Here is a 24,103-nt window from a genome sequence, read left to right as displayed (position 1 = left end):
GATCCAATAATCAACAGAGCATTAATTCATTGTTTGCCCACAGGTAAACAATGTGGGTAGGGAATGTGAACTACCTTCACGTGTTAAATAAAATTTATAGGAGGCCATTGGTTTGGCCTGAGCTCCTGCAGTAGGCCCAACAGACCAAACCAAAATGGAATTACTCATGTTGAAGTTCCACACCACCAAGTCAACACTAAATTACCTATCTGTCCTTGCAAGAAATCGGGAGAGGTAATAGCCAGATCCCCAAACAGGTCAGTTTCAGCTGGCATCATGAAGAAGTTCCCTTTGCTTTAACCTTCATAAGGAAAGTAAGTCAGGAACAACCAATCTGCTTTTTGTTCTTTGTTTCTACTTTCCTCAGCCCTTTTCATACTATGAAGCCAATCTCCTCTGCTCAGCTCATCAGAACATTCATTCTATTTTGTAGAATGAGGTGTTCCCTGATTCATGAATTGCTAATAAAAGCCAATTCAATCTGTAACTAAATTTGTTGTAATTTTGTCTGACACATGGAAATTAGAAAAAAGAAAAATTTAATTAGAGCCCCTGCATGGTGCGAATGGGAATGAGTTGGTATCTCTTGGAACTTCTTGTTATAATAAAAGTGAGAGCCTCTGACCCAGGATTCCACTCCCCTACTCACCCCCACTGTGTGCCACCCCCAGCCTATGCTCTTGATCAGAAGAGGGCAGAGAAGAAGGGGTGGAGGAGCAGACAACTTTCACCAGGACTCTGGCTACGACCCCTCAGGGCATGGTCAGCTGAGATGACCTCAGCTAGAAGAATAGGGAGCTGCTCATGAGCAGTGATTTCAGAAACAGTAGCCTGGATCCGCTGCCCCAAAACCACCCTCCTCACCTATCATCTAAGATTCCACTAGGGAGACTTGATTTACCTAGCTATTGAAATGCTGTGGGAAATGATTCAAGCTAAGAAATGAACAACTAACAGAAGGCAATTCCCTCCCAGCACAGCACTCCCAGCTTAGCACCTGACCCAGCTAATGTGGTCTCAGCCTGAGCACTGACAGTGACAGGGACTCATCCTCTCAAGCAGCCCTTTTGGTGCCCAGGCAGCTCCAACTGCTAGAAGGCTCTTCTGACACTGGGTCAGCTTCTGCCAGGCAGAGCCACAGAGCAAGGGCTTATGGGTGCCAGGCCTGTGCCAGGCTGTGAGGAAGACAGGGTAGTGCAGACCCTGTCCCTGCCTTCTGAACAGATCAGGTCTAGATTGAGGAGGTGAGCAACCTCAACAGTCCTAGGGGCATGTGTTTGTCCCACATTCGAAGTTCTGCAGCGCTCCGTGAATGATGGAGCCATTGGGACATAGTAGGACAGTCACCCAGTGGCCTGGACACTCCTCTTCTGATTGCAGCCTGGTCATACCAGACATTTCTAGATACTTTCTGAGGCATCTCCAGCCTAATCTTGACCCTGTGGCCTCCCTTCCAGTAGCCCAAGCCCCCAAGCTGGGTTGTGCTACGTTGGAGCTGTGATGCCTCCTGGCTGGAAGGAGAGGCTGCTGATTTGCTTGGGAATTATTCCAGGGGTTCTGAAGCTTCAGGATATGAAAATCAGGAATTGTTGAAACACAGATACAGCCCTTCCTAGAGGTTATAGTTTCCTGCCCTGTCTGGAACTAACAGACTAACAGGGGAGACAGAATTAATAGTAAATTCACACATCTGGGGAATGCCCCAAAGGACCAGGAGAGGATGCAAGGGTGAGGGAGAGGGGATATTGGATAGGCCATCCTGCCCTGCTCTGAGAGGCTGGGTGGGCAGGAGTTAGGGGGTGGCTCTGCACTGAAGGAAGGAAAGTCTGAGTTCACCAGGCAAAGAAGGTGCCCAGGGAAGGGCTCCTGAGAAGGCTGAGAAGCAGGAAGGAGCCCTCCCTTAGCTCTCAGAATAAAGGTCCCACTTCCCTCTATGCCTGGCATAAAGTCTGGGGAGGTGAGTGAGGCGCAGCCCAGTTGTAGGATTGAACCCTGGGTGAGGAATCAAGTCCTGGGGGCCAGTCAGAGGTGTATTATAACCTGTGCGACTTGGCTTTCTAACGGCCAAATGGGGTTTCAGACTCACAAACTCCAACTTCTGCAGCCCTGAGAGATGGTGCCACCCTCTCAACTTGCAGGTAAGGACATGAAGGCCAGCAGAGAGCCACTGCACGACAGCAGAGCTCAGGACCCCTCTCCTGGTCTGTCGGCTGTGTTGGGCTCCTGCATCCCCAGAGGTTTCAGGGACTTCACGGGGTGGCAGGAGAACTGAGAGATAAGTAAATGACGCAGCGGTCATGGGAAGCAGAGAACGTCTCACAGCAGTGCGAGCTTTGTCTCCCTCTGGCGTGGTGGTGGCTGGGAGGTGGTGAGAGGGTCTGGGTCTCAGATCACCAGCTGTGACACAAGCCCTGTGAGCTTGGGCAAGTAAAAGGCTGCATTTGTAGAAAAGAAACTCTTTTGATTCCATTGTGAAAATGGTTTCCCTTTCTTTGGTTAGAACCCAGCCAGATTTAATTTCCAGGAGCCAGAGCCAAAGAGAAAATCATTCAGGGCAGAGATAACTCTTCTCTAAGACGTCTAGCCTTGGGCAGAGACAGGAGAGAAATACAGACTTCCAAGCCAAGGCCCAGGCATATTTAAAATATTAATATTTTAAAAGGTCTGGATTTAGGATAGAAGCAAAGAAGGGCTAAATAATTCAGAAAGCAAATTGAGGAGCAGCTGTTGCTGATGCTAACTGAGGTTCTTGCCTGGCTGGTTTCAGAGCAGCATCCTCAGCCTCCTGGGAGAAAGAGCACAAGTTGTCATGATGGGGGAAGACAAAGGCTGGAGGGAACACAAAGCCAGCCTTAAGTGCAGCCCGACTGGCTTTGTTTCTCAAGACACTCATATTACTAGCAGCTTAAAACAACAAACATTTATTATTTCACACAGTGGCTGATGGTCAGGTATCTGGGTTCTAAGTTGCTGGGTTTTCTGGCTCAGAGTCTCTCATGAGGTTTCAATCAAGATGTCTTTCGGGGCCATTGAAGGTTTGATTGAGCCTAAAGAATCAAAGACAGACATGCTGTTACATAATAAGCCAAAGTTATATTAACTCTATATTGGCCCTATATTTTTTATTGCTTCACAGCAGACTGGTATCATTGCCTCAAAAGTTTACCAGTGCCAAGCTCAAATTTTTTATACACCCAATTGCTTTAAATATAGTCTAAATAAACAGATCGTTAGTCATTGACAGCCTTCCGGTTTTGCATACCCCACAAAACAGAATCCCACATTTACTAGCCACAGATACAATAAACTCTGGTGCTATAAAAGGCCCCAGTTGCCGGGCATGGTGGCTCACAACTGTAATCCCAGCACTTTGGGAGGCTGAGGCTGGTGGATCATGAGGTTAGGAGATCGAGACCATCCTGGCTAACACGGTGAAACCCCGTCTCTACTAAAAATACAAAAAATTAGCCGGATGTGGTGGCACGCACCTGTAGTCCCAGCTACTCAGGAGGCTGAGGCAGGAGAATGGCATGAACCTGGGAGACGGAGCTTGCAGTGAGCAAAGATCACGCCACTGCACTCCAGCCTGGGCCATAGAGGGAAACTCTGTCTCAAAAAAAAAAAAAAAAAAAAGCACCAGCCATAGCTGCCCTTTGGATCTCTCTGACTCTGAGACTCCACACCCTACTACTGAGGGCATCATCTAGACATCTAAGGATCCGCTCCAATCTCCGTGTCCCCCAGAATCTCCCCCACCCTCCTTCTCTTCTAGCTGGTGGCCTCAGTCATTACCTGCGGAAGGTCTCATGCTGTGAAAAGCTTCCTCAGCAGGCAACCCTGTCAAAACACGGCCCAAATAAAGCTTGTTGTATGTTATTACCACCTCATAGCCATATCTTTTTCTTTTTTTTTAATTTTTATTTTAGGTTTGGGGGTACACGTGAAGGTTTGTTACACAGATAAACGAGTGTCACAGGGGTTTGTTGTACATACTATTATTATATATCACCCAGGTATTAACCCCCAGTACTCAATAGTTATCTTTTCTGCTGTTCTTCTCCTTCCCAACCTCCCTCCTCAATAGACACCAGTGACTGTTGTTTCCTTGTGTTCATAAGTTCTCATCATTTAGTTCCCACTTACAGGTGAGAACATGCAGTATTTGGTTTTCTGTTCCTGCATAATTTTGCCAAGAATGATAGCCTCCAGCTCCATTCATATTCTGGCAAAAAAATCTTGTTCTTTTTTATGGCTGCATGGTATTCCATGGTGCACATGTACCACATTTTCTTTATCCAGTCTGTCACTGGTGAGCATTTAGGTTGATTCCATGTCTTTGCTATTGTGAGTAGTGCTGCAATGAACATTCACATGCATGTGTCTTTATGGTAGAACGCTTTATCTCCCTCTTGGTATATACCCAGTAATGAGATTGCTGGGTCGAATGATAGTTTTGCTTTTAGCTCTTTGAGGAATTGCCACACTGCTTTCCACAATGGTTGAACTAATTTACACTCCTACCAACATCATAACATCATATAAGGCTTCCCTATTCTCCATACAATCTCGCCAGCATGTGTTATTTTTTGACTTTTTTCTTTTCTTTTCTTTTCTTTTTTTTTTGAGACAGAGTCTCCCTCTGTTGCCCAGGCTGAGTGCAATGGCGTGATTTCGGCTCACCGCAACCTCTCCTCCCAGGTTTAAGCAATTCTCCTGCCTCAGCCTCCTGAGTAGCTGAGATTCCAGGCGTGTGCCACCACACCCGGCTAATTTTTGTATTTTCAGTAGAGTCGGTGTTTCACCATGTTGGTCAGGCTAATCTCAAACTCTTGACCTCGTGATCCACCCACTCAGCCTCCCAAAGTGCTGGGATTACGGGTGTGAGCCACCGTGCCTGGCCATTTTTTGACTTTTCAATAATAGCCATTATGACTGGTGTGAGGTGGTATTTCATTGTGGTTTTGATTTGCATTTCTCTAGTGATCAGTGATATCGAGCTTTTCTTTTCTTTCTTTTTTTCCTTTTTCTTTCTCTCTTTCTTTTCTTTTTTTTTTTTTTTTTTTTGAGACAGATTCTTGTTCTGTAGCCCAGGCTGGAGTGCAGTGGCGCTATCTCGGCTCACTGCAACCTCTACTTCCCAGGTTCAAGCTATTCTCATGCCTCAGCCTCCTGAGTAGCTGGGACTACAGGTGCCTGCCACCATGCCTGGCTAATTTTTTTGTGTTTTTAGCAGAGACGGGGTTTCACCATGTTGGTCAGGCTGGTCTCGAACTCCTGACCTCATGATCTGCCCACCTTGGCCTCCCAAAGTGCTGGGATTACAGGCATGAGCCCCCGTGCTCCTGGAATTCACTACACATGGCTACTTGCTGGAGGCCTCAATTCCTCACAGAAAGGGCCTCTCCACAGGGCTGCCTGAGTATTCTCAGAGCAGTTGGCTTCTCCCAGAGTAAGAAATCCAAGAGAGTATCACCAAGATGGAAGCCACAGTGCTGTTTTATGACTGTCTCTCTCTCTTTCTCTCTCTCTCTCTCTCTCACACACACACACACACACACACAGAGCATCACTTCCATTTTATTCTATTTGTAAGAAGTGAGTCACTAAATCCAATCAACCCTTGAGGGGAACTAGGCTCTAGGCTCTAAATTTTTTTTTTTTTTTTTTTTGGAGACAGGGTCTTGCTCTGTTGCCCAGGCTAGAGTGCAGTGGCATGATCTCAGCTCACTGCAACCTCTGCCTCCTGGGTTCAAGCTATTCTCCTGGCTCAGCCTCTTGCATAGCTGAGACTATGGGTGCCCGCCACCATGCCCAGCTAATTTTTATATTTTTAGTGGAGAGGGGGTTTCACCATGTTGCCCAGGCTGGTCTCAAACTCCTGATCTCAGGTGATCCACCCACCTCGGCCTCCCATAAGTGCTAGGATTACAGGTGTGAGCCACCGCACCCAGCCTAGGCTCTACCTTTTTGAGCCTCCACCTCTTTTTTTCTTTGTTTTTTTGAGACGGAGTTTCACTCTTGTTGCCCAGGCTGGAGTGCAATGGTGCAATCTCGACTTACTGCAACTTCCACCTCCTGGGTTTAAGTGATTCTCCTGCCTCCGCCTCCTGAGTAGCTGGAATTACAGACATGTGCCAACACGCCCGGATAATTTTGTATTTTTAGTAGAGACAGAGTTTCTCCATGTTGGTCAGGCTGGTCTTTAACTCCCGACCTCAGATGATCTGCCCGCCTTGGCCTCCCAAAGTGCTGGGATTACAGGCATGAGCCACCGTGCCCGGCCAAGGCTCCACCTCTTGAAGGGAGGAATATCAAAGAATTTGTGGGCATATTTTAAAAACCACCACAGCACTTTCACAGGCCTCCTCTCTCACCTCACCCCTCACCCCAGGGCCCTGTGAGGGAAGCAGGGCAGCTAAGGAAACTCAAGAGGCTGACACCCCTAGCCGTGCTCACATCACTGCCTTATGAGGCCTGGAGCCCAGGACCTCATGAGCCACCACAGCCCAGAGAGGAAGCCCTCCCCTCTGCTTGGCGTCATTCACTTTCACACCACTTTCTCTTCTCTCTTCCACCTTCTGGTTCTGAAGACAATCCTGTGAGGTACCTTAGTGATTACTGAACTTAAAGAAGCCAAAGGAGGCCTGGCTTCTTCTAGTCATGCTTTGGGACAGATGAGCTGTGTGATCTCAGGTAAGTCCCACCTCCTCTTGGGGCCTACTTTTCTTCTTCTGTAGAATGTTAAATGAGTAATTTTTTTTTTTTTTGAGAGGGGTCTTGCTCTGTCACCCAGACTGGAGTGCAGTGGCATGATCTTGGCTCACTGCAACCTCCGCGTCCTGGGCTCAGGTGATCCTCTCACCTCAGCCTCCTGAGTAGCTGGGACTAGAGGCTTGTGACACCACGTCTGGCTAATTTTTTTTTTTTTTGTACTTTTTGGTAGAGACAGGGTTTCACCATGTTGCCCAGGCTGGTCTCGAACTCCTGAGCTCGAGCGATCTGCCTGCCTTGGCCCCCCAAAGTGTTGGGATTATAGGCATGAACCACCACACCCGGCCACAAGATTAATATTTTAAAAGGATATACTGTTACACAGATATAAAATGCAAAACATTTAATTCATTAATTAATAAGGAAACCCTCATTAATATAATTTGAATATTATAGTCCATTTTAAAGAAAACTATCAAGTTTAGAGTCAGATAAAGAATGTTGAGATGCATTTACAAGTGGATGCAAAACTCGAAGAACTGAAAAAACTGGTCAATATTTATGTGTGATAAAGTATTATCTTTTCCCTAATCTTTGCAAGGTTCATGGCAGTGACCCCTATAACAAAAGACAGATCAGCAAGATAAAAACATACATCTTTATTTAACCAAAGTTTTATTTAACCAAAGTTTAAATTTTATTTAACACAGGAGCCTTCAGAAACAAAGACCCAAAAGAACTGAAAAATCTGTGTATTTTTATGGGCAGTCATGCAGAAGTATGATCAAAAGCCAAAAGTGTATTGCAGGAAAGTTTACACTTCCCCTCTGAAAGTTTGATAATAGCATCTGCTGAAATAAATGGACAACAGGCAGATTAACAGGAGAAAAGGCTGATGAATTCATTAATATGCAAGTGCAAGAGAGTTACACAAATGAGAGTCACACAAAGTAAACTCAAAGGGCCAGATAGCTGAAGCTTAAATGCCCTCTTCATAGCAGTAAGGGAGGTGGGGGCTCTAGGCAATTTTAGAGAAAGAGTAAACGATTCTTAGGGGGAATGAATGGGCCCAAAGAACAGGCAATATCGTGTCACAAAGTTCGTCTGGGCTCTGGGTTTGGTGTCAACTCCAGTCTCCTTTCCTGTGAGTTAATCTTCTCTGTTTAATGAGATTGTAGGGAGAGGGCCCAAGACAACTGCATTCCTTCTGAAGAAACTTCCCTTGGTCAGATAAGGGAACTTCAGAGAAAGCCTCTCCCTGTGTTCTGGGAAAGGCAGAGGAGTCAGAGACAGGAGCGGGAGGGAACTGGGGGAACTTAGCAAGGCCTGTTTGTTCAGATTCTTCTTGGCATCTCTGTGTCTTTATTCCTTTTCTCCAGATATAGAGAGAACCCCTCTGAAATGAGGGCCTTATGACCTACTTCAGGAGAAGTTCAATTCAGTTTTATGGCCTGCCTCAGGGGAGAACAGTGGGAGAACAGTGGGAGAAGGCCAGAGAAACCTCCCAGCTTCTCTTGTTTTCTCGAATGCCGAGGTGCCACATTTTGGAGTAGTATGTCGTGAACCCTATCATACCAAAGGAATAGAATCAACTGCATTTCACTGTACAATTGATGCAATTTGCATTTCTTTAGAAGGAAACTGTCTTACTACCAGATTTTTACAAGTCAACTGTTATCTCTACAGAGTGGTAAAATATCCTAATCAAAGAAAAGCTAGGGGCCGGGTGTGGTGGCTCACGCCTGTAATCCCAGCACTTTGGGAGGCCAAGGTGGGCAGATCACTCGAGGTCGGGAGTTTGATACCAGCCTAGCCAACATGGTGAAACCCCGTCTCTACTAAAAATACAAAAATTTGCTGGGCATGGTGGCAGGCGCCTGTAATCCCAGCTACTTGGGAGGCTGAGGCAGGAGAATCGCTTGAACTTGGGAGGCAGAGGTTGTGGTGAGCCGAGATCACGCCATTGCACTCCAGCCTGGGCGACAAGAGTGAGACTCCGTCTCAAAAAAAAAAAAAAAAAAAAAAAAAAAAAAGACAAACTAGGAAGAGATAAAGAAAGAGATAATCTAGAAGGATGAACTATTTAGGCCAGGACTCCTACTTAATTTCAAAGTTCCACAATTTTTTCTTACAAGGACAAAAGTGGGCATTCATCTCTAATCCTTTCTCATGCCAATACTCTGGTTCTAAACCCCACATCACAGATGGGAAAGTGGAGGCTCAGCTTGTGGTGGTGGTGTCCTGTGAGCTGTCTCCTTCCAGCAGCGCCCCCACCAGGGTTTGCCTCCTGCTTCTCCCCTTCCCTCAGCTCATCCCAGCACCATAAAAATGAAGCATCCTCTGTCCTTTCTGGACACCAGAGACACCTTTTGAGGAGAAGTGGGTTTTCTGGCTTTTTCTCTGTCCCTGGCCCAGAAGCAGGACACTTATCCATATTGACTTGAGTATCTAATAAGTAGCACGTAAGTCAGAACCAACCTAATTAACAAGGGCACTTGTGTTAATAAGCACCTTTCAATCCATGCAGGGAGCTAACACACTCAGAATACAAAGGGAAGAAAAGACATTATCTTGAAATGCCTGGGCTCCCACCTAGGCTGAGCCTCATGAAGTCATTATGGGTAATTATGGGCTATTACATGCTATCACCTTGGCAAGACAACTACCCTCAATTGCCTAGAGTCACAGGTCCCTCAAGTCCGGGAAGGTAAGGGCAACTTTCTGTTTTCAGTTCTTTTCCATCCTACCTCTTGTGAGCACCCCCACCAGCCCCTCCATGCCATCATTCAGGTTTCACCCTGTTTTGTTATCCTGTTTCCTTTTGCTACTGGGAACTCCAGAAGTCTCAAAGAGCTTTCCCAATTCTCCACTCAACTCACTTTGAGCCGGTTTCTCCTTTCCAGGGAGAGTTGAGGAGGCCTATGGGGCTTGAAATGGGGAGAAGAATGGGTCCCTGAGTTGGGTAGGGCTAGACAGGAAAAGCTACAGCTTGGCTGTAGCTGAATTACAGAGGATGGGGCAGCAGGGAAAGTGGGGTGGGGCTCAGAGAGAGAGAGAGAGAGAGAGAGATGGGAAAAGGAAAAACCAGAGAAACTGAGAGCTCAGGGCAAACATTTAAAGCTTTTGCAGATCTCCTTCTAAAGGGGGTAGACCGCGTGATGGCCTCTTCAAAACTCCAGTTCAGTAAGAGAAAGGACAAAAGTGTGGGCAACCATCTCTGATCCTGGCCAAATTCTTTATGGTAGATTAAACATGGTCACAAATTATTTGCTGCTTCTCAGAGGTGGGGTTCTGTTTCCTCAACCTTTGGATCTGGCCTGCTTTTGTAACTTGCTTTGACTAGTGGCATGTAGCAAAAGGGATGCTTTGACCAGTAGAATGTAGCAGAAGGGATGTGGCATGTGTTCCAGATGGAGTGCAGGATGCACTACCCTAAAATATGGTGCCTTGACATGTGAAATAATTCGGCTGGGCATGGTGGCTCACGCCTATAATCCCAGCACTTTGGGAGGCTGAGGCGGGTGGATCACCTGAGGTCGGGAGTTCAAGACCAGCCTGACCAACATGGAGAAACACCGTCTCTACTAAAAATACAAAATTAGCTGAGCGTGGTGGCGCATGCCGGTAATCCCAGCTACGCAGGAGGCTGAAGCAGGAGAACACTTGAACTCGGTAGACAGAGGTTGCGGTGAGCCAAGATCACACCATTGCACTCCAGCCTGGGCAACAAGAGTGAAACTCCATCTCAAAAAAAAAGAATTCAAGCTGAAGAACTGAATGGACAAACAGCATGTGCAGGGGTGATTGTGCTGGGTGTGTTGCCTGATATGCAGAAAGTCAATGCACCAAGACTCCAGGTTGCAGCAGAGAAAGAGGTTTAATTGTAAGGCCACCAAATGAGATGAGAAGAAACCTCAAAACCACCTCTTCAAAGAGTTTGGGTCTAGAGACCTTAAGGGGTTTGGACGAGTAGTGGGCCAAGGTGTCGATTGTTCAAAGAGTGAAGGGTGATGTCATAGGATGGAGGTGAAGAAACTGCATTTTTTTTTTTTTGAGACAGATTCTTGTTTGTCACCCAGGCTGGAGTGCAGTGACACGATCTTAGCTCACTGCAACCTCTGCCTCCTGGGTTCAAGCCGTTCTCCTGCCTCAGCCTCCCCAGTAGCTGGGATTACAAGTGCACACCACCACGCCCAGCTAATTTTTGTATTTTTAGGGGAGACGGGGTTTCACCATGTTGGCCAGGCTGGTATCGAACTCCTGACCTCATGATCTGCCCGCCTTGGCCTCCCAAAGTGTTGGGATTACAGGCGTGAGCTACCGCGCCCAGCTGAAGAAACTGCATTCTCAGACCGACTTGGTTCCTTGGTGTGGTCTTTGGACTCATTGGCGTTAGTTCTGAAAAACATCTCAAATGAAAAGTTGTAAGGCTCCTAAAGTCAAAGTTCCTATCTACAAGAACAATAAGTAAATTCATGGTTTATGTCCTGGCCTACATGGTCCATAAGAGGCTATAGGGAAATGAGTCATAGGACAACCTGACTAATGCTTAATCTATACTTTTATCTAAAGCCTGGCATGTAATTATTGTTAACACTATGGGGAAGGTTTAACAGGGAAGGTCTCTCTGACCTTCCCCTGACTTTCTCCCATGAAGCAGGCCCTAAAAGAATTCTCTGACCTTCTTACAAAATAAGGTCATAAGACCCTATTTGCAGGGCCTCCTTCCTATACCCAGAAGAAAAGAATGAAGACGCAGAGATGCCAAGAAGCTGTGAATAAACAGGCCTTGTTAAGTTCTCTCCAGTTTGTTACCATTACTGTAGCAGGACAAGTCGCAGACAAAACTCCTAGGACACCGGATTAAAGAAGGAAGAGGTTTTTATTGGGCTGGGAGTGTCAGCAGACTCGCGTCTTAAGAGCTGAGCTCCCCAAAAAAGAAATTCCTAGCCCTTTTAAGGGCTTACAACTCTAAGGGGTCCACGTGAAAAGGTCGTAATAGATCAAGTAAGTGTGAGGAACGTGACTAGGGGCTACATACATCAGCTAACAGAACAAAAAGTTTTACAGTGCTTTCACATACAATGTCTGGAATTTACAGATAACACTAGTAGTTTTGGTCAGGGGTTAATATTATTATTATTATTATTATTCTTTTAACCACCAGGGCCAGGTGGTGGCGCCAAGGTCGTCTAGTTATTTATCTTATTTCTGTTTCTTTCCAACTTTTTGCTTTCTCCCTTTTCTCCTGTCTTATAAACTAGGGAAAAGGGGAGGTTGGGGAGAAGCTGGGAAGGACAACAGGAGAAGTGGTGGTCTCATTCTATTAGATCATACCCACTTTTGTCCAATCATACTGTATGATAGTCCACTCTACACGAACCTAAGCATAAAAATACCGTTTTTTTTCTGTTTCTTTGGGTCTTCATTTCCTTATTAAGTCTCTCATATGATGTAAAACTTATTAAATAAATTTGTATGCTTTTCTCTTGTATTTAATATTTTGTTATAGGGATCTCTGCCACAAACCTAGGGTGATACTAGATAAAGATGCTAATTTTCTCCCCTACAGTGACTTTAGAGATTAGGACCTAAAGGCTTGGTGGCTTCCCTCTCACTGTCTCCTGGATCTCTCATTCTGGTGGGAGTTAGGCGCCATGTCATGAGGACATTCAAGGAGCCCTCTGGGGAGTTCCCATTGTGAGGAGCTGAGGCTTCCTGACAACAACCAACACCAACTCGCCAGGAGAGGAGAAGAGCAGAAGACAAGGGAAGCAGGTAAAAAGAAAGGGGGTGATGAGTGGAGAACATTGAGTAAGGCTTTGTGCAAAATTGTAGCTGTCAGATTTGGAATCCCCCAGGTTCTCCTTTAGAGGCCTCTTTAACTCAAGGTACACAAGGCCTCAAACTCTTTTTAAAAAAAAAAAATTATTTTTTTTTATTTCAGGGCCGGGCAGGGTGGCTCACGCCAGTAATCCCAGCACTTTGGGAGGCTGAGGTGGGCGGATCAGGAGGTCAGGAGTTCAAGACCAGCATGGTCAACATAGTGAAACCCTGTGTCTACTAAAAATACAAAAAAAAATTAGCTGGGCGTGGTGGCGCGTGCCTGTAGTCCCAGCTACTTGGGAGGCTGAGGCAGGAGAATTGCTTGAACCCGGGAAGTGGAGGTTGCAGTGAGCTGAGATGGTGCCACTGCACTCCAGCTTGGACAAGAGAGTGAGACTTTGTCTCAAAAAAAAACCCAACAAAACACACACACACACACACACACACACACACACACACACACACACACAGATTAGGGAAGAAGACCCCAGCTGAGAGAGTGGCCATATTGAAGAAAGTGGATTCATCTATTAGCTCTGAGATCAAAATGCAGCTGCCTAGTGATGACAATAAAGGGAACTTGCAGTGAAAGCACTTGAGTGGTCTAAGCTGATGGAAGGATGGGAAGAGTGGTAAGAGGCCGGGGATGCCAGCAATCTCTAAGGATAAGAATGAGAAGCCACGGCTGGGCGTGGTGGCTCACATCTGTAATCCCAGCACTTTGGGAGGCCGAGACAGGTGGATCACGAGGTCAGGAGATCGAGACCATCCCGGCCAACATGGTGAAACCCTGTCTCTACTAAAAATACAAAAATTAGCCAGGTGGGGTGGCACATACCTGTAATCCCAGCTACTCAAGAGGCTGAGGCAGGAGAATTGCTTGAACCTGGGAGGCAGAGGTTGCAGTGAGCCAAGATCATGACACTGCACTCCAGCCTGGGCGACAGGGCAAGACTCCGTCTCAAAAAAAAAAAAAAAAAGAATGAGAAGCCACTTAGGTATTCAGCTGGGCTTGGACTCAGGGAGTGAAGATAACAGAGCTATGTCTATCTTGGAAATCAGTCTCCCCATATCCACCTCCAGTCTAGGCCACAGAGGATACAGGTAGGCCTTAGTGGAACTAAGTGACACTGCCCTTCCTTTGAAATCTAATCTAAGATTTGCGTCTCATGGTACTGTATTTAGGGTGGGCAGTGAGGGAAATTTCAAGGTGTGGGAAAGGTAAGAGAGTGTGCAGCCGGGCATGGTGGCTCACGCCTGTAATCCTAGCACTTTGGGAGGCTAAGGTGGGAGGATCACTTGAGGTCAGGAGTTCGAGGCCAACCTGGCCATCATGGTGAAACCCCGTCTCTACTAAAAATACAAAAATTAGTCGGGCCTGGTGGCATGCACCTGTAGTCCCACCTACTTGAGAGACTGAGGCAGGAGAATCACTTGAACCCAGGAGGCAGAGGATCCAGTGAGCCCAGGCTGTACTCCAGCCTGGGCAACAGAAGGAGACTCTGTTTAAAAAAAAAAAAAAAAAGAGAGAGAGAATGTGGGTATATGGGTGATGAGAAGCCTCAGCTATTCATTTGTCTGTCTAGAGAGTTCCCCATCAGGGCATAGGAGAGAAAAAAGTATTGTCTTCCTCACCCATTGCTAGGTTCACAGATGACACCCCATAACAAAACGCAGATTAATAAGAGGAAAGCATAACAAATTTAACAAGGTTTTATAAGACATAAGAGCCTTCAGAAATGAAGACCCAAAGACCCAGGGAAAATTGTGTTTTTTTAAATGCTAAGTCTGCTGAAAGAAGTAGATGATTGTGGAGAACATGACTGGACAAAGGGTATGATCTAATGGTAATAAACTGGGGTAGGGGAAGTAGGGGAAATATGACAAGATCTGTTTGTTCAGATTGTTCTTGGCCACTCTGAGTAGCATTCCTTTCTGCTGAGTAGCATTCCTTTTCTCTGAGTATGGGGCTGGGCCAGCCTGGAATGAGGGTCTTATGTCCTGCTTTCAGGTGAGGTAGGTTAAATAATTCCTTTATGAAAGCACTGTGCATGAGAAAGCGGGGGGAGGTCAACGTGATCTTGCTTCTTTAGTTTTCTTAATTGCCAAGGTGCCATATTTTGGGGTGTCATGTTCTGAGTCCCATAAGGGGCAGGATTACCTTCAGGTGAGGAAACATAAAATTTTAGGAGGCACACACTCTCAAGATCATATAAGCGCAAGATGGGTCCTTGAGAATGAAAGCCTCACTTGCCTCACCCTTGTCCAAACCTTGATCTCTACACCAACTCTTCTTTGGCTCTAATCATGTCTTAAAAATTAACAAAAAAAATGGCCGGGCGCAGTGGCTGACACCTGTAATCCCAGCACTTTGGGAGGCCGAGGCGGGAAGATAACCTGAGGTCAGGAGTTCAAGACCAGCCTGGCCAACATGGTGAAACCCTGTCTCTACTAAAAAATACAAAAATTAGCTGGGTGTGGTGGAAGGTGACTTAATCCCAGCTACTTGGGGGGCAGATACAGGAGAATCGTTTGAACCCGGGAGGTGGAGGTTGCAGTGAGCCGAGCTCAAGTCATTGCACTCAAACCTGGGAGATAAGAGCGAGACTTCTCTCAAAAAAAAAAAAAAAAAAAAAAATTAACAAAAAAGTTTAACAAGGCCGAGTGCGGTGGCTCATGCCTGTAATCCCAGCACTTTGGGAGGCCAAGGCGGGCGGATCACCTGAGGTCGGGAGTTTGAGACCAGCCTGACCAAAATGGAGAAACCCCGTCCCTACTAAAGATTCTAAATTAGATGGGCGTGGTGGTGCATGCCTGTAATCTCAGCTACTCGGGAGGCTGAGGCAGGAGAATTGCTTGAGCCTGTGAGGTGGAGGTTGCAGTGAGCCGAGATTGCGCCATTGCACTCCAGCCTGGGCAACAAGAGCAAAACTCTGTCTCAAAAAAAAAATAAAAAAATAAAAAAAAGGCTGGGCGCGGTGGCTGGCCAGGCGCGGTGGCTGGCCAGGCACGGTGGCTTACACCTGTAATCCCAGCACTTTGGGAGGCCGAGGAGGGTGGATCACCTGAGGTCAGGAGTTTGAGACCAGCCTGGCCAACATGGCGAAACCCTGTCTCTACTAAAAATACAAAAATTAGCCGGGCTTGGTGGTGCATGCCTATAATCCCAGCTCCTTGGGGGCTGAGGCAGGAGGATCGCTTGAACCTGGGAGGCGGAGGTTGGAGTGAGCCAAGATTGTGCCACGGCACTCCAACCTGGGCAACAGAGCAGGACTGCATCTCAAAAGAAAAAAAAATTAACAAAAACCAAGCTCCAGTCTTTCTTGCTGGACAGCTGTTTTCATCATGTTGAGCCTCTGGTACTGCTTCCCTTGGCCTATGCCCTCAAACCTACTGTCAGGATATGGGCAGCAAACGAACCACTTCTCCAATATTTTTTTTTTTTTGAGGCAGAGTATCACTCTGTCTCGCCCCGGCTAGAGTGCAGTGGTACTATGTTGGCTCATTGCAGCCTCCGCTCCCAAGTTCAAGTGATTATCCTGCCTCAGCCTCCCAGGTGGCTAGGATTACAGGCACTCACCACCATGCCTGGCTAATTTTTTTTTTTTTTTTTTTTGTATTTTTAGTAGAGACGGGGTTTTACTATGTTGGACAGGCTAGTCTTGAACTCCTGACCTCAAGTGATCTGCCTGTCTCAGCCTCCTAAAGTTCTGGGATTACAGGCGTTAGCCACCACTCATGGACTCCAACTTTCTTCATAGTCTTCAAGTTGTTTTGTCTACTCTAAGTTTGGGTTGTTGTTTTTTTTATTTTTCCCTTTCATATGAACTTTAGAAGCAGCTTGTCAATTTTTTCTGTAAAATATTTTTTAAAAAAGATTTTGATTGGGATTACACTGACTCTTGGGATAGTAGAAAAACTCAAACCATGTTCTTCCACTGTTCTCACACCACAACAATCAACCCAGGATTCTTCTGGGACCAAATGTGTGTTGGTTTCTCCTCATACACCAAGCAATCAATTCTGCAGCAGATATCTGCTGCGTGTCCTCCAATTCAATTGAATTCTGACATTATCTACCTGGAAATAGCTTCAGAAACCACAGGTTGAGGGCTCAGTCCCACAAGAACACCTCTTCCTTCCCACTAGTCACAAGACCACACCTCTGTACGTTTGATCAGCTGACTTCAAGATGGAGTTCCCATGATCCTCTTTACTAGAGTGGCTCACAGAACTCAGGGGGACACTTACTTACATTTACTGGTTTATTACAAAGGATATATATGTGTGTGTGTGTGTGTGTGTGTGTGTGTGTGTGTGTAGTTATATACTTTTTTTTTTTTTGAGATGGAGACTTGCTCTGTTGCCCAGGCTAGAGTGCAATGGTACGATCTCAGCTCAGTGCAAACTCTTCCTCCTAGGTTCAAGTGATTCTTCTGCCTCAGCCTCTCAAGTAGCTGGGATTACAGGCACCCGCTATCACACCCAGCTAATTTTTGTATTTTTTTTTTTTTTTTTTTTTGAGATGGAGTCTTGCTCTGTCACCAGGGCTGGAGTGCAGTGGCACCATCTCGGCTCACTGCAATCTCCGCCCCCCAGGTTCAAGCGATTCTCCTGCATCAGCCTCCCGAGTAGCTGGGATTACAGGCATGCTGTAATTTTTGTACTTTTTAGTAGAGATGGGGTTTCACCATCTTGGCCAGGCTGGTCTTGAACTCCTGACCTCATGATCCACCTGCCTCGGCCTCCCAAAGTGCGGGATTACAGGCGTGAGCCACCGTGTCCCGCCTAATTTTTGTATTTGTTAGTAGAGACGGGGTTCACCATGTTGGTCAGGCTGGTCTCAAACTCCTGACCTCAGGTGATTCACCCACCTCAGCCTCCCAGAGTGCTGGGATTACAGGCGTGAGCCACTGCATTCAGCCAGGATACTTTAAAGGATATAAATAGATAGCCAGATGAAGAGAGACACAGGGCAAGGTCTGGAAGAGTCTGATCACAGGAGCTTCTGTCCCTTTGGAGTTGCGGTACACTGCCCTCCTGGCATGTGGTTGAGTTCTTGCTCACTTTCCTGTAAGACTCTCCTTGTTCAACTATCTGGAAGCTCTCTATAACGTTGTATTCTTGGGCCTTTTATGAAGACTTCATTGGATAGGTATGATTGACAACCATGTAGAAATGTGATTAGATAAAAAGGGTAGGATCTAAAATAGACTGAATGGGGATACCCAGCAAGGCCTGTTTGTTCAGATTCTTCTTGGCCTCTGTGTGCAGCATTCCTTCCTTCAGGGTATGGAGCAGGACCCTTTCTAAAATAGGGGTTTTATGACCTACAATCAGACAAGGTAGGTCAGGGAATTTCTTTATGGAAAGGCAGGGGAAGATGACAGTCCTGCCTTGGGGGAGAAAAGGGAGCCCGTGAAAGGACAGCAGTAGAAGATCAGAGAGAGATTCTATTTCCTGAGGCCTGCTTCTGAGGCCTAAAGCACCCCAACATTATAACAAGAGCTACAGGAGTTATGAGTCAGGAACCATGGATGAAAATCAATGTATAGATAACATAATATCACAACTCCATAGATAATTTGGAGAGAATTGAGTTCTTAACAATATTGAATCTTCCAATTCATGAACATGATATTATCTCTCCATCTATTTAGGTCTCTTATTTCTCTCAGAAATGTTCTATAGCTTTCAGTGTACAGGCCTTACAAATCTTTTGTCGTAATTATTCCTAAATTTTAACTGTTTTGCTCCTATTGAAAATAGTACTGATTTAGGCCGGGTGCGGTGGCTCACACCTGTAATCCCAGCACTTTGGGAGGCCGAGGTGGGCAGATCACAAGGTCAGGAGATGGAGACCATTCTGGCTAACACGGTGAAACCCCGTCTCTACTAAAAATAATAATAATAAAAAAAGAAAGAAAGAAAATAGCACTGATTTTATTATCTACTTAAAAATGTCTGCTAATTCTATATAAAAATACAGTTGATTTTTATTGTTTCTTACAAACTTGCTAAGTTTTATTAGCCTTTTTGTAGATTCCAAATGATTTTTTGTAAAGATGACCATGTTGTTTGTGATTAGAATTTTACTTCTTCCTTTCCAATCTATTTTTTTTTTTTTTTTTGAGACAGAATTTCTACCCACCTAGGTCTCCCAAAGTGCTGGGATTACAGGCGTGAGCTACCGTGTCCGGCCTCCAATCTCGATGTCTTTAATTTTTTTTTTTTTTTTTTGAGACGGAGTTTCGCTCTTGTTGCCCAGGCTGGAGTGCAGTGGTGCGATCTCGGCTCACTGCAACCTCCGCCTCCCGGGTTCAAGCAATTCTCCTGCCTCAGCCTCCCGAGTAGCTGGAATTACAGGCATGCACCACCACACCCGGCTAATTTTGTATTTTTAGTAGAGACGGGGGGTTTCTCCATGTTGAGGCTGGTCTGGAACTCCTGACCTCACGTGATCCGCCCGCCTTGGCCTCCCGAAGTGCTGGGATTACAGGCGTGAGCCACTGCGACCGGCTAAATAATAATAATAATTATTATTATTTTTGCCTTATCGAACTCACGAGAACCTCCATTAAAATTCTGGGTGAAAGTGCTGAGAGTGTATGTGCTTGCTTGTTTTCATTCTTAAGAGACAGGAAGCTGATCATAATCCTAAAAGGCATAACCTCAAGTGTTGAAATCCTGAAAGCTCAACATTCCAAAACTATCATTCTGGAAAACTAATTTTAAAAATTATTTAAAAGGTATTTATTTACATTTTTTTACTTTTTTTTTTTTTTGAGAGGGAGTCTTGCTCTGTCACCCAGGCTGGAGTGCAGTGGCCTAATCTCGGCTCACTGCAAGCTCCGCCTCCCGGGTTCACGCCATTCTCCTGCTTCAGCCTCCCGAGTAGCTGGGACTATAGGCGCCGGCCACCACGCCCGGCTAATTTTTTGTATTTTTAGTAGAGGCGGGGTTTCACTGTGTTAGCCAGGATGGTCTCAATCTCCTGACCTCGTGATCCACCCGCCTCAGCCTCCCAAAGTGCTGGGATTACAGGCATGAGCCACCCCACCCGGCCTTATTTACATTTTTAAAAGGGGATTTATTTGAGACACATAAAGTCATGACAGAACGCTTCATAGGTCACTTTACACAACAAAATACTCAGTATAACATACCTATTTTTGCAAGCATAAACACGTACACTAATTACAGTTACATGGCTATAACAGTTACAACCAGATGAACCATATTTTTTTTGAGACGGAGTTTTTCCCATTTTAAAATCAGATTATTAGATTTACTTATTTATTTTTATCGACTTTTTTTTTGAGACGGAGTTTCACTGTTGTTGCCCAGGCTGGAGTGCAATGGTGCGATCTCAGCTCACCGCAACCTCCACCTCCGGGGTTCAAGCGATTCTCCTGCCACAGCCTCCCGAGTAGCTGGGATTACAGGCATGCACCACCACACCCAGCTAATTTTGTATTTTTAGTAGGGATGGGGTTTCTCCATGTTGCTCAGGTTCGTCTCGAACTCCTGACTTCGATCAGGTGATCACACCATTGCACTCCAGCCTGGGCAAGAAGAGCGAAACTGTCTCAAAAAGAAAAAAGAAAAAAGAAATAGGTCGAAAGGGGAAATGTATAAACACATATCACTATGGTTGATAATTATGTGACCCAACTTTATAACTGTGGTCATCTAAAGTACCATAATGGGCTAGGAGCGGTGGCTCACGCTTGTAATCCCAGCACTTTGGGAGGCCGAGGCGGGCAGATCATGAGGTCAGGAGTTCGAGACCAGCCTGGCCAACATGGTGAAACCCTGTCTCTACTAAAAATACAAAAATTAGCTGAGCATGGTGGCACATGCTTGTAATCCCAGCTACTTGGGAGGCTGAGGCAGGAGAACTGTATGAACCCAGGAGGAAGAGGTTGCAGTGAGCCAAGATCACGCCACTGCACTCCAGCCTGGGCAACACAGTGAGACTCCGTCTCAAAAAAAAAAAAAAATTTAAAATTAAATAAAAAGAGTGGGAAATGCTATTCCAAAAATAAAACTAAACAAACAAATTACATGAGAAATCACTTTACACCCATTAGGTTGACTATAGTAACAATATTTTCAAAAAGAGAAAACAACAAGTGTTGAAAAGAATGTGGAAAAATTGGAACCCTCATATATTGCTGGTGGAAAGTACAGCTGCTATGGAAAACAGTTTAGCAGTTTCTCAAAAAGATAAACACAGAGTTATCATATGAACCAGGAATTCCACTTCTTGAGCATATACTCAAGAGAAATGAGAATATATGTTTACACAAAAACTTGTAAATGAATGTTCATAGCAGCTTTATTCATAATGGCCAAAAAGTGAAAACAATCCAAATGTCCATCAGCTAACTAAAGGATAAACAAAATGTAATACATCCATACAATGGATTATTATTCAGCCATAAAAGGAATGAAGTACTGATGCATGCTACAATATGAATGAACTTTGAAAATATTATGCTAATAATTCAATTTACAGTATATAAAATATCCAGAATAAGCAAATCCATAGACAGATTAGTAGTTGCTAAGGGATGGGAGAAGGGGGAAATTGGGACTAACTGCTAATAGTATGGTTTTTTTCGGTGGGGGGGCGCAGTTGATGGAAATGTTTTGAGAGTAATGGTGATGGTTACACAACATAGGGAATTTTCTAAAAACCACTGAAGTGTGCGCTTTAGAATAGTGAATTTTATGTTAGGTGAATTACATCTCAATAAAACAAAAACAAAAAGAACACTTTTTGTTTTATTATTGGTGAAATAGGGTTAAGAGCATCTTTCTCACCAGGCGCGGTGGCTCACGCCTGTAATCCCAGTGCTTTGAGAGGCCGAGCCGGACGGATCACCTGAGGTCGGGAGTGCTAGGCCAGCCTAACCAACATGGTGAAACCCCGTCTCTATTAAAAATACAAAAAAATTAGCTGGGTATGGTGGCGCATGCCGGTAATCCCAGCTACTCGGGAGGCTGAGACAGGAGAATCGCTTGAACCTGGGAGGCGGAGGTGGCAGTGAGCCGAGATCGCGCCATTGCACTCCAGCCTGGGCAACAAGAGTGAAACTCCGTCTCAAAAAAAAAAAAAAAAAAGAAAAAAAACAACAACAAAAAGAACATCTTTCTTTTTTCTTTTCTTTTTTTTTTTTTTGAGACAGAGTTTCACTCGTTGCCCAAGCTGGAGTGCAGTGTCACGATCTTGGCTCACTGCAACCTCCGCCTCCAGGGTTCATGCCATTCTCCTGCCTCAGCCTCCCAAGTAGCTGGGACTACAGGGGCCTGCCACCACGCCCGGCTAATTTTTTTGTAATTTTAGTAGAGACGGGGTTTCACTGTGTGAGCCGGGATGGTCTTGATCTCCTGACCTCGTGAACCGCCCACCTCGGCCTCCCAGAGTGCTGGGATTACAGGCGTGAGCCACTGCGGCCGGCCTGGCTATGTGATTTTCAAGCTCCTTTCAGCTCTAAAATTCCTATCTTGCACTGGCTTAAAATCAGGAAGACAGGCCGCGTGATGGCTCACGCCTGTAATCCAGCACTTTGGGAGGCCAAGGCGGACAGATCACCTGAGGTGGGGAGTTCGAGACCAGCCTGACCAATATGGAGAAACCTCATCTCTACTAAAAATACAAAATTAGCCGGGCCTGGTGGCACATGCCTGTAGTCCCAGCTACTTGCGAGGCTGAGGCAGGAGAATCACTTGAACCTGAGAGAATTGCTTGAACCTGGGAGGCAGAAGTTGCGGTGAGCTGTGATCATGCCATTGCACTTCAGCCTGGGCAACAAGGGCGAAACTCCATCTCAAAAAAAAAAAAAAAGAAAAAAAATCAGGAAGATATCTGGAAAAACAGTAGGAATTGTATCTGCTTTATTTTAATCAACTTGGCTAGTTCATCAAAACTGGTTTCCTTTTCTTACCCTCCAACTGTTTTTCCTTTTTTCATTTTTTAGGGACAGATCTCCCCATGTTACCCAGGCTGGACTCAAGCAATTCTCCCCACCTCAGTCTCCCAAGTAACTGGGACTACAGGCATGTCCCAGAGAATCGGCTCTCCTACTTCTATTTTTCCAGCTAATAAGCTTGGAGTCACTTAGTCACTCTAATACTCTTTATTAACAACTTAAAATGACACATGAACATTTTTAGAGCACTTTCCAAGTTTTATTAATCACTTTCTCTTTTGATCTGCACAATAGATCAGGTTTGTAGGTATTATCTCCAATGTACCTGTGAAGAAACTAAGGCCTGGAAGAGTTCAGCGATTTGCCTACAGTAACACAGCAAGTAAGTTACGAGACCAGGTTTTCCAACTTCAAAGCCTGTACTCTTTATATTCCCTGTCAGCGGAAGATAAAAGTTTTGCGGGGCCTGAAGTATGCACATCTAAGGTGGCTGTATTAGTTTTCTATCACTGCTATAACAAATTACCACAAACTTTGTAGCTTTAGACAACACAAATTTCTCTTACAGCTCTGTAGTTAAAAGGTCCAGACAGGACTCACTGGGCTAAATAAAACTCAAGCGTCAAGAGGGCTGTGTTCCCTTCTGGAGGCTCTGGGAAAAAATCAGTTTCCTTGTCTTTTCCAGCTTTAGAGACCATCTGCATTCCTTGAGTTGTGGCTTCTTCCTCCATCTTCAAAACCAGCAACAACAGATAAGTCCTTCTTAGATTGCTTCACTCTGACCTCCTCTCTGTCACCTTCTTCCATTTTAAGGACTCTTGATTATACTCGGTTCACCCAGACAATCCAGGATAATCTCCCTATTTTAAGGCCAGCTGATTAGCAACATTAATTCTATCTGTCACCTTAATTATCCTTTGTCATATTACATAACATATTCACAGGTTTCAAGGATTAAAACATGGACATCTTTGGGAGGGGGTGCTTATAGTGTCCACCACAGCGGCCCTCTTCAAGAAAAGAATAAAAAGTTAAAATTATAAAATTAGATACGATCCAGCCGGGCGCGGTGGCTCATGCCTGTAATCCCAGAACTTTGGGAGGCTGAAGTGGACAGATCACTTGAGGCCAGGAGTTCAAGACCAGCCTGGCCAACATGGCGAAACCCCATCTCTACTTAAAAAAATAATAATAATAACAAAAATTAGCCGGACATGGTGGTGTGCACCTGTAATCCCAGCTACTCAGGAGGCTGAGGCGCAGGAGAATTGCTTGAACCTCGGAGGTGGAGGTTGTAGTGAGCTGAGATCACGCCACTGGACTCAAGCCTGGGTGACAGGGCAAGACTCCATCTTAAAAAAAAAAAAAATTAGATATGATCCTATGAATATACTGTTAGAGCACCTCCCAAAAGCTTCACGAGATTCATGGAAAATGTGTTTCTTTGTATTTATTTGTTTGTTTTTTAAGTCCGGTGAATTCATGTCACAAAATCAACCATCTTAAAGTGTACATTTCTTTTCTTTTTTTTTTTTTTCTGAGACGGAGTTTCACGCTTGTTGCCCAGGCTGGAGTGTAATGGCGCCATCTTGGCTCACCGCAACCTCCGCCTCCCGGGTTCAAGCGAT

General features: G+C 45.3%; 2 long non-coding RNA genes across 3 annotated transcripts in view, besides 5 other annotated features; one reads left to right on the top strand and one right to left on the bottom strand.

Moving 5' to 3' along the window:
- Positions 1,925–2,522: an enhancer, noted in NCBI's record as "H3K27ac hESC enhancer chr1:113420877-113421474 (GRCh37/hg19 assembly coordinates)". NCBI's record gives its function as "activates a minimal SCP1, AML or CMV promoter by ChIP-STARR-seq in primed H9 embryonic stem cells {active_cell/tissue: H9 hESC(primed)}" and the evidence as "EXISTENCE:reporter gene assay evidence [ECO:0000049][PMID:30033119]".
- The window catches only part of LINC01357 (long intergenic non-protein coding RNA 1357), a 28,015-nt gene continuing 6,817 nt past the window's right edge, over positions 2,906–24,103 (bottom strand). Inside the window, exons 2-3 of one of the 2 annotated variants that reach the window (NR_189281.1) lie at positions 3,793–3,837; positions 2,906–3,047 (exon numbers count right to left, since the gene is read on the bottom strand). This is a non-coding gene — a long non-coding RNA (long intergenic non-protein coding RNA 1357). The remainder of the gene's footprint in view (positions 3,048–3,792; positions 3,838–24,103) is intronic. The other variant, NR_189282.1, reaches the window with a different exon arrangement.
- Positions 11,136–11,430: a silencer, noted in NCBI's record as "tiled region #5001; HepG2 Repressive non-DNase unmatched - State 22:ReprW". NCBI's record gives its function as "represses a minimal TATA promoter and a strong SV40 promoter by Sharpr-MPRA in HepG2 cells {active_cell/tissue: HepG2}" and the evidence as "EXISTENCE:reporter gene assay evidence [ECO:0000049][PMID:27701403]".
- LOC105378911 (uncharacterized) lies at positions 12,393–23,249 on the top strand. Its single transcript, XR_001738192.2, has 3 exons — positions 12,393–12,489; positions 22,770–22,857; positions 23,161–23,249. It is a non-coding gene; the product is annotated as an uncharacterized LOC105378911 (long non-coding RNA).
- Positions 14,447–14,956: an enhancer, noted in NCBI's record as "H3K27ac hESC enhancer chr1:113408443-113408952 (GRCh37/hg19 assembly coordinates)". NCBI's record gives its function as "activates a minimal SCP1, AML or CMV promoter by ChIP-STARR-seq in primed H9 embryonic stem cells {active_cell/tissue: H9 hESC(primed)}" and the evidence as "EXISTENCE:reporter gene assay evidence [ECO:0000049][PMID:30033119]".
- Positions 15,024–15,224: a silencer, noted in NCBI's record as "peak371 fragment used in MPRA reporter construct". NCBI's record gives its function as "represses an SCP1 promoter by STARR-seq MPRAs in K562 erythroleukemia cells {active_cell/tissue: K562}" and the evidence as "EXISTENCE:reporter gene assay evidence [ECO:0000049][PMID:32103011]".
- Positions 15,469–15,978: an enhancer, noted in NCBI's record as "H3K27ac-H3K4me1 hESC enhancer chr1:113407421-113407930 (GRCh37/hg19 assembly coordinates)". NCBI's record gives its function as "activates a minimal SCP1, AML or CMV promoter by ChIP-STARR-seq in naive H9 embryonic stem cells {active_cell/tissue: H9 hESC(naive)}" and the evidence as "EXISTENCE:reporter gene assay evidence [ECO:0000049][PMID:30033119]".

This window comes from Homo sapiens, chromosome 1, assembly GCF_000001405.40.
Source record: "Homo sapiens chromosome 1, GRCh38.p14 Primary Assembly".
Taxonomy (NCBI): Eukaryota; Metazoa; Chordata; class Mammalia; order Primates; family Hominidae; genus Homo; species Homo sapiens.
This window is presented reverse-complemented; position numbering and strand designations above follow the sequence as displayed.